General features: G+C 44.0%; 2 annotated features.

Moving 5' to 3' along the window:
* Window positions 1,541-2,041: an enhancer, noted in NCBI's record as "H3K4me1 hESC enhancer chr5:73906972-73907472 (GRCh37/hg19 assembly coordinates)". NCBI's record gives its function as "activates a minimal SCP1, AML or CMV promoter by ChIP-STARR-seq in naive H9 embryonic stem cells {active_cell/tissue: H9 hESC(naive)}" and the evidence as "EXISTENCE:reporter gene assay evidence [ECO:0000049][PMID:30033119]".
* Window positions 2,042-2,542: an enhancer, noted in NCBI's record as "H3K4me1 hESC enhancer chr5:73907473-73907973 (GRCh37/hg19 assembly coordinates)". NCBI's record gives its function as "activates a minimal SCP1, AML or CMV promoter by ChIP-STARR-seq in naive H9 embryonic stem cells {active_cell/tissue: H9 hESC(naive)}" and the evidence as "EXISTENCE:reporter gene assay evidence [ECO:0000049][PMID:30033119]".

Genomic DNA, 13,474 nt, shown 5'->3' on the forward strand with positions numbered 1-13,474 from the left:
AATCTGATAGTGAATTTGATAACGTAGTTGGGGCTCAAACACTTGAGAGCTACATCCCCAGGACTTACGGGAGGGCCAGAGAAGCCAGAACTCAAGACTGCAGGAACCCAGGTGTGACTTTGGTGTCCACTATGTGGTCATATGGCCACCGTGTAGCCTCCTTACTCTGGACCACTTTGTTGAAATGGAGACCTATGGAGGTTGCCTAAAAAACTTTGCTTTAAAAATTCTTGAGAAGCAGAGGATTGACTAACTCAATTCTTAAATGAAAAGATATACCCCTGGAGCCATATGGAAATTTGTGGGAGGATTTGATTGTCACACTGATGGGGAGGCACCACTAGCGTTTAGTGGGTGGGGCCAGAGGCAGTAAACACCCTGCAACGTGTGGGATATGGTCCCCATGACAAATTTCCCTAACTTCTGCCCACATTTAAAATGTCCAATCACGGAAGTGAAAAAACACACGATATAATTATCTGAGCCATATATCTAACTCCATTTAACATATACACACAAGGTATTTTTAACAGTTTTAATACACATTGACTTTTTCAAGAACGCAACCATTGTGTGTAAATACTTTGTTTTGTTTGAAATTGACCAGCCTTTCAGTAAATCTCTGAGAACAAGGCATGGGTCTGCATATGTAATGTCACATTTTGTATATCGATACGAATGTACTTACCTTGCCTTTATTTCAAAATGTCAAATATAAAGAAAAAGTGTTGACAATATTCAGTTGAGTATTGTCTTACTTCTGTGAAGCTCAAACTAATTCATTACAAATAGTGGTATCGGACTTAGAACTGTCTTTTAGTTTGGCCATGCCAAAAATATGCACACTTTTATTATAAATTACTTTCCTTTTATTTTTCCTTTTTATTAGTTTGTGCTGGACCCTGCGGGCCCCACTGAGATCCCCACTTCAGGACCTCCCTAGCAGCTGAGAGCACTGATCGTGAGCAGCCAGGGCTTAGGGTCACCACCAACTCCCCACAATTGCTCCTGTCTGAAAAAGGCTGCCTCTTCCAAGGTCCTGCCCCATGACTCCTCCATAGGAGGAGCCCTCATCCACTTACTGGTCACTGGGGGATAATAAGGCCCCAATTAGGCACAATTCTACAAGAGCAATCTGCTCCAGAGCTCCCTGTGGGATCTGCTGGGTCGTGTGGAATTGCATGGCAGCGTGACCCAACTTTTCCCTCTGCCCAAGCCTGCTTCCATCTCCCTCTCACAGGTGTTGATCCCAAGAGTATGTCCCCAAACACCATCTCAAGTTCTTTTTCCTGGGGAACCTGACCTGTGGCACAGTGAAAGCATTATAATTGATTTTGGACATTGGGCATTACATTATATAGCAATTTTAATTTGGGATAGTAAAGGGGGAAAGGAAAAAATATTTGCAATAAATGAGAGGTACCAGATTTCATGGGGTTGAGAACCACTGGACTAGGTGATCTCTTCAGAGTCCCTCTACCTTAAGATCTTCCCCTTTTGTGTAGCAACGCTGCTTTTTCTAGATCCTGAAATTAACCAAGACTCAAAATAATACTTTATGTAACTGTTTTGCACCCACTTGAATAAAATAAGTGGTCCTGTACAGCATCATTGCACATCAGCACTTTTTTTCTAGATTATCCACCCACCATGCGATGTATCCCTGGGGGAGTAATTGCTACATGTGATGCAGCCAGCAAAGCCCAAGGCGTGTGTGCCAGCAGAGCAGTGTGTCTATGCCATAGACTACATTACTCAGGCCTCACAGCAAAGTGGCCGTGGGTATATTTAGCTCTCTCTGAGAGAGAGACACTAGGTATCCAAGAAGATAACAATCTGGCTCAATAACATCAGGCACTTTGCTCTTTGAAAAAAAAATTTTTTTTTTTTTGAGACAGAGTTTCGCTGTTGTTGCCCAGGCGGGAGTGCAGTGGCGCGATCTCGGCTCACTGCAACTTCCGCCTCCCGGATTCAAGCTGTTCTCCTGCCTCAGCCTCCTGAGTAGCTGGGATTACAGGCATGCGCCACTCCACGCCCGGCTAATTGTTGTATTTTTAGGAGAGACGGGGTTTCTCCATGTTGGTCAGGCTGCTCTCAAACCCGCCTCGGCCTCCCAAAGTGCTGGGATTACAGGCGTGAGCCGCCATGTCTAGCCTGCTCTTTGAAATTTTTTAGATGACATAGAGTTTTAATTTTATTCTTAATATCCCAATGTTGTAATTCTCTTTGAACCATCAACTAAAAAAGATTCACAGAGCCAGAGTGCAGCTGAGGAGCATGTGTGCATGTGTTTGAATGTGTGTGTGGTATGTGTGTATGTGTATGCTCTGTGTGTCTGTGTGTGAGCGGGTGCTTGCTGTCCTAAGGGACAGTAGGGGAGGAGAATCCAAAAGTGAGACCAGTGAATACTAAGTTCTTACTTTCTGACCAGGCTGCCCCAAACCAAGAATGCAAAACCCCTTGAAAGCACTTAGTTTCCTCTCATTCCAGAAAAGTGTTATACTCGATCAAGCAGAATGAGGGCTATTTACCTGGTACTGTGACTCCTTTCAAATCAGTTGTTAATCTAAGTCTTCAGTGTGCCACTAGGTCATCAACTTTCTTGGTCATCTGACATTCAACACAGATCAGAGTCTGAAAGCTTGGCCCCACCTCCTCAGCACTAGCCTGCTGCCCCCAGGCTGTCCGCGTGTTGCAGAGGCTGTTCAGTCATTCAGCATCTCTTTCTTAATTCATTTACCTGTAATACTGGGATGCTGGTCAGAGTTCCCACCTTTAATTCTTCTTAGGGGTGTGGGGATGATTAAAGCAATAATGTTTTTCAAGTACAGAGGTATTCCAGATTAAAGACACTACGTAACCTAATGCATTCTGCTTCCAATGACATAAGTTTATGTAATTGCAAGCTAGGAAAATAAAGTTAGACCAGGTGTTCCTACCGCAGCCGCGATACTGTTTGCCTTACTTTCATGATGTGGCGCCTGCCTCAACATTTTTTTAAAAAGCACTAATTCCCAAGAAAGAGGATATTGGTTTAAGAAAGAAATGCTCTCATTCACTGAACTTTCATTTCATTAATACACAAATATGTACAATTCTATTCCACAGTCAGTTCAAGGCTAAAAGTCGAGTTAATAATAAATGGTACATTTACTACTTCGTCATGTCATTTGTACTTCAGAGAGAGCTTTTATAAAGATATTACTTTTGCTTTTAAAGACAGGAAGGCTGTATAAGGTACCCCAGTCAACCTGAGTAAATGCTTTGCATGTTCATTTTCTTCCTGAGATAAACAGGTCACCTTCTCTCCCACATATAATTAGCGTAATATCCTGTCACGCACCTGCTCTGCTGCTCAATGCATCAGCTCTTACATCCCAAGACAGTGTTGATTACTGTAGATCCTGGCACATCACTGTGAGGAGTTCAGCCATGCCAAGCATACCAACCACAATGGGAATATTAAATGCATTGCAAAGATAATAAGAAAAGTGGTTTGAAAGGCTGGGTGTGGTGGCTTACACCTGTAATCCCATCACTTTGGGAGGCCGAGGCAGGAGGATTGCTTGAGGCCAGGAGTTCAAGACCAGCTTGGGCAACAAAGTGAGACCCTGTTTCTAAAAAAACTTTTTTAATTAGCCAGGCATGGTGGTGCACACCTATAGTCTGAGCTACTTGGGAGGCTGAGGTGGGAGGATCACCTGAGCCTAGGAGTTTGGGACTGCAGTGAGCTATGACCATGCCACTGCACTCCAGCCTGGTTGACAGATCAAGACACTGTCAAAAAAAAGTGGTTGGCCAGTCTGAGCTGTTTGCCAACAGACCACTTCTGTAAAATAATGCTATGGAAGATTGAGAAATTCTGTCCCTCGCCAAGCCACTGAGAATACACTACTGATTCCATCCATTCGAACATGCTTGGACTCCCTGGTCTAAACTGATAGGGGAACCAAAGAAGGAAGTTAGAAGTGAAGTACAAGTGTTTATTAGGCAGCTTGAATTGAGGAGGCCAAAGAATGTGAAACAAGAACAAAGACTCTTTCTGGTTGGATGTATCTGGTAATTGAGTGGAAATACAAGCTTAGCCAAGGTGCCTACTTTATTCCTAATGTTTTACATGTCTAACCCCCTTTCAGGGAAAAAGAAAACAAAATGAGAAAAATACTCACATTGAACAAACTCAATATCATATTAAGAGAAAAAGGCAAGTTGCAAATTAATAAGTACAGTATGATTGATCCTCCCTGCTCCATCCATGACCAAATTCACCTGTGCTCAGCAACCAAACAAGTATAGTATTAGGGATCAGCTACATTTGGACCACAAAACTTTGAAAGCCATTATAGAAATTTCACCCATCAAAGATGACATCCTCTCTGGAGAAAGATGTGCCCCAGATTTCAAACGATCAGTTCTTATTTATCAGCTTTTAAATATAAGCCAATCTTAAAGGTGGGCACCAACTCTAATTGTAAAATTACATTCACAGCTACATTAAGCATACATCCCACTTACAAATCCAGCCCCATGCTAGATGAGGCATTTATTAGTAATGAGGAATACATTTTATTTCCCCAAAGTAAAAAAATAAATAAGACTTTTTAAAACTAGTTAAAACTAAAAAGCCTGGTTCTATCCTGGTCCAAAATAAGGGAGAATTGGGGTATGGAATATCATTTCTGAAAAGCTCTCCTTAAAAACTTACTGAAATTGGGACTCCACAGACTTTGAGCCATGGATAACTAATCCAAAAAGCCAGTCCCTATGTGGTATGGTATAGAGAGGGACAAAAATAGGGACCTCCCCAACCCCGACTATCAGAGAAAAGATTCTAAATTTTAAACAATTTTTGTACCCTTCACTGCCACACACACACACCCACACACAAATACACACACACACACACTCATGTGCACAAAACTTGAACTTTCCACACATAAACTCAGGGCAATGGCAGTGTAATTGCCAAAAGTAAATTTGGTCGGAGAAATTCTCTCTCCTCACTTTGTGATTCTGGCACCACCTGCTTGAACTGCTTTGGGATAAAGCACTTAGATTCACCTAAGAAGCTTCAAAAGCTTACAGAAGCATGCACCTGATCCCAGACCAATTAAGTCAGGACCTGGGGCGGGGGCACCAGGACTGAAATTGGGCATAAATAGTTTTTTTTTTTAGATGGAGTCTCACTCTGTCCCCCCAGGCTAGAGTGCAGTGGCACAATCTCAGCTCCGCAAGATCAGCAACCTCCGCCTCCTGGGTTCAATCATTCTCGTGCCTCAGCCTCCTGAGTAACTGGGACTGCAGGAACACCACGAGGCCTGGCTAATTTTTCTTTTTTTTTTTTTTTTTTTTTTGTATTTTTAGTAGAGACAGGGTTTCACCATGCTGCCCAGGCTGGTCTCAAACTGCGAGCTCAGGCAATCCACCTGCCTTGGCCTCCCAAAGTGCTAGGATTATGTAATGGCATGAGCCACAGTGCCCGGCCATTAGTTTTCAAAGTCCTTTGGGTGAGTCTAATAGACACTGAAAGGTTGAGCACCTTCAGGTATTGAGAACCACTGGTTAAACAGGTAACCAATCTGGTCTAGCCCCATTAGCCTGCTATTGGTTGCTGACCCATGGCCTTCATGGATACAAAATGGAACAGGGTGTTTCCTATAGCAATGAGCTAATTAATCTTTTCAAGCAGTTAAATACATTTAGTACTTCTCAGGAGTATACAGTCTTTCAAAAATTCATTAGTTATAAAGGCTTAGCCAAGGATTTACCTTGATTCTTAATTTTTCAAAAGCTGCGTTATTTTAAAAAATTACCTTCCAATAGCAAGCTAAAATGTCAACTTTTTTCAGTTGGGCTCTTGGTGCACTTTTGGGCACCATCCCAAAATAGGTGGGACGTAAAGACCCAAACCTCACTTCCAAAACTGTTTCTTCTAATTCCCTGGAAGATATTCCTATCAGAAACTATGACAATAAGGTTAAATAACAAGTTGAGTACTTATTACTGTTTAAATCAATACAGTTTTATGCACCACACTATAAAAGCAACAGCCTGAGTTACTTAGATATTTTAATTTGGGTAAAAAGAAGATTGAAATTATATTTATCAGGCTGAAATATAAAAAGTCTCCAGTCAACTTTTTCTGCATTGAAAAAACTTGTTCTTCATTATCTGTCATTTCTCCTTCAGTTTAAATTCTAAGATGAATTGACAAGAAGGCAGGTGGCTGTCAGTGATTCTATTTCAGCTCGTCAATATTTCCTCTGGATGAAGGACAACATACTGATTAGGTTTAACTTCATCTTCTTTTAACATTTCAACAGAAGGGGCTCTTCATGGAAGTCGCTGAATAACTCTCAAATTATAAATAATTTCATGAGATAAAAAGGGAGGCCCCAGACTTTTTTTTTCTGTGACTAATATGGTTTCTGCTCCTCCCTCCTTAAGACTTTTAATTAAATCAGAGACAAGCTGGAAACAATGTGTCAGCTTTTTAATGAGCTTTAATTGTCACCACAGAAAATTAAGCATAGGCTGAGAATCAGGATTCAAGATCAGCTGTAAACCCCAGACTGGTAACCAGTTCTGATCCCATGTTGATGTGAGAGCTTTGTCTTTGGGGTAGAGAGAGGGTTCAGAGAAAACCTGCTTGGAACACAGAAAGCTAAGTTGCTACAGACAGGATTCTACCCATTCAGACTACTATCAGTCATTTCCTACACTCTTAGAGTTTGGCCAAGGGATGCAAGATGAGGATTACCGCCTGCAATGCTTGCCCCACTAAGAGGCCCAGACTCTTCTCAGGTCCTGGCAGATGGCATCAAGATAGTTGTTAGGTCCACAACTACGCCAATTGTCAGGTCCAGGGTCAGGTTCGGGCCCGTACTGAGGTCCGAGGGGAGTGGGTGGATAGGCGAATAGCTGAAAGAACACTCGGGGGGCTCTAAGCAGGTGAAATGTAGTTTTATTCAACAGCTCTCTCACCGGCAGCTCTATTACACTGTCCGCCTTTATCTCGGCGGTCTGCTGCGGCTCCGCAGCTCCTCTCAGCAGCCGGCTCTGCGGCTTGGCTGCTCCCACACACAGCTGCACGGCCGGCTCTCCCTTGTCTTCAAGGTCAACAGCTTAACTCTTTCCCTCTGGCCACCAGCGCCAGCCATGTCGAGCTGTGCCATGCCCTGGCTCCCCTCTGTCCATCTGCAAGACAGACAGCTCTGGTTCTCTTTCTCTGGGCGCCAGTGCACCCCCAAGCCATGTCAAGCTGAGCCCAGGAGTGCCTGTACAGTGTCAGCAGGGCAGTTATACCTTTTACAGACCATAGTAAGTAAATTCCGAGCCAAGAATGAGCTTACGTAAACAGGTTATATAACAAGTGGAGGTGTGCACCTGCGCAACAATCCCACTGACTCAAGCAGGCCTGGATGTCAGCCTCAGCCTAATTCTTGACCAATGTACACCCATATACCTTACAATAGTGATGTCAACTTGTAGTCTTTTCCAAGGCATTTTTCTTTAGGCATCTTCCAAAACTATACAGAAGAAACAGAAAACTGACCTGAAGAAAGACACGTGCCGAAGAGGGGTCAGGATATATAATAAACTGAAGGTGACCAGTGTGGGCTTCTCCTGCTTCCAAAGCCAGAAGGTTCTTGCAGATGTATTTAATCAACCTATCTTTTTCCTGAATTACATTCTAGCAGTTTGAAAAAAAATAATGAGAGGAGAAATCGCTGTGGAACTCAGTGTCTTTGTTATCTATTTCACAACAATGCTCAAAGGTCTCCACTGGAAAATCTTGAATAGATGTAATAGGCAGGCATGCTTTTAAAATGATTGGAAAGTGCGGGGGCCATAATGCTATTGTAGAACCACATTATTTTACAATGCACTTTAAATGGTTCCCAAATCCTTTTATTTAAAACCCCAAGATAGGAGGACTAGTTTTTCTCAAAGAAACCACGACTATTTCCTTCTCAGAGAATAAGCTGTTAGAGCTGGTAAGACATTAGCAAATAGCCCATCTGAGCTACAAAGAGCAAATAGCCCATCTGAGCTACAAAGAAAAATAATGGTTTTGTTTTGTTAACCTGGAGAAGCGACATACCTTTAAGGCTTTTTTAATGGATTGCCACAGGATAATTGCTACTGCTGTTAAGCAGAATGTTCTATTTGGATATTAGCTCATTTATGGGGCAGAGTTAGGAAGAGTTTTTGCCCAGGTGACTTGTAACAAAATGAAATAAGCAGATGTTACGTATCTTGAAATTACCACCAGGTTTTTATGCGTTGTTAGGTGCTGAGATGCTCTGAAAATTTTGTCTAAAATTGCAGCGTAGTTGTGAACAGAGCAGTCGTATCACTATGCTCGGGCAGATTGTGCCAAACACTGAGACGTTTTCAAAACCATTTAGTCATCTCCCCAAATATAAAAAAGAAAGGGAAGAAAGAATCCCTCTGGAAGTGAGCTGCTCAAAGATGGGTCACTGGGGCAATCTCGTCCCCTCTAAAGTCTTCCCCTCACCTGCCCCTATACCTGCCCTGCCCACACAGGAAACCACAGGGCCATAAGGATGAGTGATAGGTAGGAATGATTTCAATCCTTGTCTGCAGTTGTAACCCCCCTGATTTAGTTTGAGTCCTCCAAGAAGCAGATGTCAAGGCAGGATTCAGTGAGCAATAGATTTATAGGGAGAAACTCTAGTGAAGTAATGAAGCGGGGAGAGCCAGAGAAGGTAGGGAGCACTTCCAGATCACAACCCAGGCCAGACCCCAGTGAAGGAAAGCAAAGTAAACCAAAGCAAACATTTCTCTAAACTGGGTGTGGTGGTTCACGCCTGTAATCCCAGCACTTTGTGGGGCTGAGGCAGTGGATCGCTTGAGCCCAGGAGTTCGAGACGAGCCTGGGCAACATAGGGAAACCACCATCTCTACCAAAAAAAAAAAAAAAAAACCACACACACACACACACACACACACAAAAATTAGCTGGGTGTGGTGACTACCATAGCCCCAGCTAATAGGGAGGCTGAGGTGGGAGGATTGCTTGAGCTGGGGAGATTGAGGCTGCAGTGAACCACTATCGCACTGCTGCACTCCAGCCTGGGTAACAAAGTGAGACCCTGTCTCAAAAAAAAAAAAAAAAAAAAAAAAAACAAGAAAACATTTTCTCTAAACCCTGATGTTTCCCATTTGGTAGTGGGTAGTGGGGATCCTTTGCTGGGCACAAGCTCCTCCTCTCCTTTACCTGTCTTACTTTGCTTTTCTTGTAGGTTCTACCCAGTAACCATAGTTCACAGAGACTAATGCTATGCCCATTGTAGACTCTGATATCTTTCTAGGCCCCCCTGTGAGTTAGAGTTTGTGTATGTAGGCTAAGCCTGGAGAGAGGAAGATGGACAGGTGGTCTCCTCTCTCTGTCTCCCCTTCTTTCTGCTCCTCGTGGAGGGCTAATGCCTGGCCCCTGGTGTCCAGGTGCAATTCCAGCAGCCCCTTCCAAGACAGCTCCTCTCCCCTCTGGTTCTGAGACAGCATGTACCAGCATCCTTAGAGACAAAGGGAGGAGTCATGCCTATCCCTTGTTCTCAGAGGTAGGAAGACATCTGCTAATGACAGCTCACCACCCAGCCTTCTGTAACTCACTGAATGTTATATGACCAACCACAAGCAGTGCCCACCCAGGGACCTTGGGACTCCAGGGTTCTCTGCCTTTGGTCCTGGTTCTTGGAAAGCAGGAGAACCTGTGAGTGCCATTCCAGAGGTTATGCCAGCAGTCACTGCCCTAGACTCCTCCTCCTCACAGCCTTCTCTCCAGTTTGCTGGGTTCAAAGGGCACCCAGCAGCATCTACACAACCTCATCGTGCCTCTGTGCCCCACCCCATGCATTCTCTACCCCAGGGGTCCCAAGGCTGCCTCTTCACAGGAAGTTCCAGGAACCCTGCCCTAGCCCAGGCCAGCAAGGCCAACCTACTGCCATGCAAGAGGAAGGCTCTGTCTCCCTCCAGCTATCTCCAATCAGCTCTAGTGGAACTCTTTGAAAAGGCCATTGTTCTTCCCAAATGGTTTGGTTTATCTCTTTGAACATTTCCACATTTCTGTCAGTGATTATTACCCTTTTCATGGTTTTTTTTTCCCTGGAAATAAATGAATGAAGAAATAAATTTCTAGTCATATGGACATTTAACTTTCTGCCCCAAGGAAACACCTAAAAAGAAAAATAAAAATATACTGCAGTAATTAAATTTTGAACACTAAGTATTCTAAGAAGTAAAATATTACAGAAATAAAAATTTCTGATTCAGTATTTATACTGGGAGTGCAGATATCTATGGATAGGTATTTGCCAAAATACAGACTAGCATTAACTTATTAGTGAGTTTTGAGTTGGTTGCTGAGAATGTGGGACTCATATCCTCCTAGAAGTGATGTTATAATTGGTAGCTGGGTTCTGGGTCAGCCTTCAGGACTCCATTCTCTGAGTTTCCACTGGTGCTGGCCTGATTCTGGGTCCTGGAACAAGGAATGCAGGAATGAAAATGTTAGGGAACAAGGAATGCAGGAATGAAAATGTTAGAGACAGCAAAAAAAAACTGAATGGGCTTTTTCCCATGCTAACTCAGTCACTCAATACTTTCAACACGAGATGTGGAGTAGGGGTGGGGGTTCCCACACATCAATCAAGCAATTCTGCAGATTCTGCAGCAGACACCAGTGGGATGTCCATTAATACAATTCAATCTGACACAAGCTACATGGAGATAGTGAGACAGGTGAGTTGCCTGACCACTCCCCCTGCCCCCCAACTCCCCCCACCGCCCCCAGCAGGATGTGCGACAGGGGTATGGCTCATCTGTTCAGCAAGCCGCCAAGTGCTCAAATCCCTTAAAGGAGGGGTAGCATGCAGATGGGCAGGTGCAGCAGCTGGGGCAAGTGCTTTTGGGCTCCAGCCCCAAAGTAGCATCTGGAGGTGAGAGCCTGCAACTCCCAAAGCCCTAGTGGGCATGCTACAGTGCTCTTTTAGTTCTGCCATCCACAGACAGCTTAAGTGTTAACTAGCTCAGTGCCCTGTTGGTAGCTGGGATCTTGTCTGGTGTCCAGGAAGAATCCGGTCACACGGACAAATTGAAGGATGTTAAATGCGGGGGATTTTAGTGAGTGATGGAGTTGGCTCTCAGCGGGATGGATGGGGAGCTGGAAAGAGGATGGAGTAGGAAGATGATCTTCCCCTGGAATTTGGCCATCCTGTGGCTGATCTCCCCTCCAACTGTCCCCAGCCAATCTCCTGTCGACATTCAGGCGTTCCTTCTCTTCTCTCCTTCTCTGCCATGCCGCTCTTCTGCTCCTCTGCTCTTCTGTTCATCTGCTCATGTGTTTGTGGAGCCTGGAATTTGGAGTGTATATGGGTACAGGATAGAGGGGTGTGGCAGGCCAAAAGGCAACATTTCGGCGCAAAAAGAGGAATGCCTGCTTTCATTTAGGGCCACGGGTTTCCAGGCTTCAGGGTGGGGCCTTTGTCGGGGAACTGCCCTCTTCTACCCAGTATTTCTGTCTCCTGTCCATACCAATAGTGTCAGATCCCAAAGGCTGAGAGTGTGGTCCCACAAGACTGCCCTTGCTTCAGATGCCTGTCACCACTGTCCAACTGACTGGAAAACAGGGTTCCCACAGCTTCCTAATTGAGTTTGGTACTTTGTTACTTACAGCTGCCCACAGGACACAGAAACACTTTACTTATGTTTACTGGTTTATTATAAGTACAGTAGGAAGGATACAGATGAAGAGAAGCATAGGGTGAGATATATGGGAAGAGACAAGGAGCTTCCATCCCCTCCCTGGATGCATCACCCTCCAGAAACCTCCATGTGGTCAGCTATCCAGAAGCTCTCAAGCCCAGCCCTTTTTGGGTTTTTATGGAAGCTTCATTACATAAGCATGATTGATTACATCCTTAATCATTGGTGATCAACGTAACTTTCAGTCCTGGCATCCCACACAGTTGGAGGAGCTAAAAATCTCAGTCCTCTAATCATGCCTATGCAGCTCTCACCTTGAAGCTAACTAGGGCCCCCCCCCCGCCCCCCGCCCCCGGCCACCAGTCATCTTATTAGCATACAAAAGACACCCATCGCTCTGGCAATTCCAAGGATTTTAGGAGCTGTATGTAAGAAGGGGACCAAATGTATATTTGACAATATTGCAGAGAGAAAGACTTTTCTTTCTTTCCAGTACCTGATGTTCATTCAAGGTAACATTAAAAAAAATATACTCTATGCTTTATTAAACAATTTATCTGACAACCCTAAAAGACTCCTTTTGTTTCTAACGTTTTTGTAGGGTGTTTTGGGGAGAGGAGAGCATTATAGGCTTTAATTTTTAAGAGTAGCTTTAGGTTCACAGCAAAATTGAGCAAAAAGTGCAGAGTTCCCAAATACCTCGAAGCTCCAGACAGGCACAACCTCCCTCTCCTATCAACATCCCAGCCCAGAGTGGTACATTTGTTACAACCTGCATTTCTTAGGCTCCTACTGACACATCATTATCACCCAAAGTCTGCAATTTAATTAGGGTTCAGTCTTGGTGTTGCACATTCTATGGGTTTTGACAAATGTTTAATGGCAGGCATTACTCATTATAGTATCGTAAGAATAGTTTCACTGCCCTAAAAATCCTCTGTGCTCTGCCTATTCATTTCTTCCCCTCTCTAACCATAACACTTTGAAGTAAAAATTTGCCTTTCTCATTCTTCTCCCACACCTCCAAGCCTCCTAATTCCTGGGATTCCCCTAGGTCTGAGCCCCACTCCCAACCCCCCACCCACCCTTCAGATGGACCTGATTCATACGAATGTGTGAATGACTAACAGCCCTCAAAATGCAGTTTAGGTATTCCCGTTTTGAAAAAGGCTGCTGATTGGCCCCCCCCATCTCTTGAATAGGTGGACCCTCTGGAAGTACCAGAAAGGGCTGTGAAGAGGCCACCACTACCAGAAACATTCCGGCAAGGTTGTCTTCTGCTTTTCCTTTCTCCTTTCCTTCTCTGTAGGGGTGGGTTGCCCTTCCCCACACTTCTCCTCAGAGTATAGAAATTATTTCAAAATTACAAAATTTGTTCTCTGCAAATGGTTCTTCTGGCAGCAATGCCTTGGCCAGAATGTATGTGGGTGGGTGAGTGGGGCAGGTGTATTTGCAATTTAGAGTTTTCATATGTGTTCTTTAGAGCCTCAGAGAGACAGAGAGAGAGAGAGAGATTTTAGTTCCCACTTTGCAGGTGCCTAGTTTGTGTCTACCAAAGGGCTGATTTCATCTTCTTTGTGGATACAATATTAGCATATCTCATGGACAAAAAAATCCTCACAGCCTTTCTAGAATATCCAATAAACACTCTCCACGTTATCTAAAAAGCGGGTGTAAAATAACTTTTCATAACAAAACAAATCATCTGATAACACAAGAAAAAGGTTAGTGAGAGTCTTTGCTG

This window comes from Homo sapiens, chromosome 5 (genome assembly GCF_000001405.40).
Source record: "Homo sapiens chromosome 5, GRCh38.p14 Primary Assembly".
Classification (NCBI taxonomy): domain Eukaryota; kingdom Metazoa; phylum Chordata; class Mammalia; order Primates; family Hominidae; genus Homo; species Homo sapiens.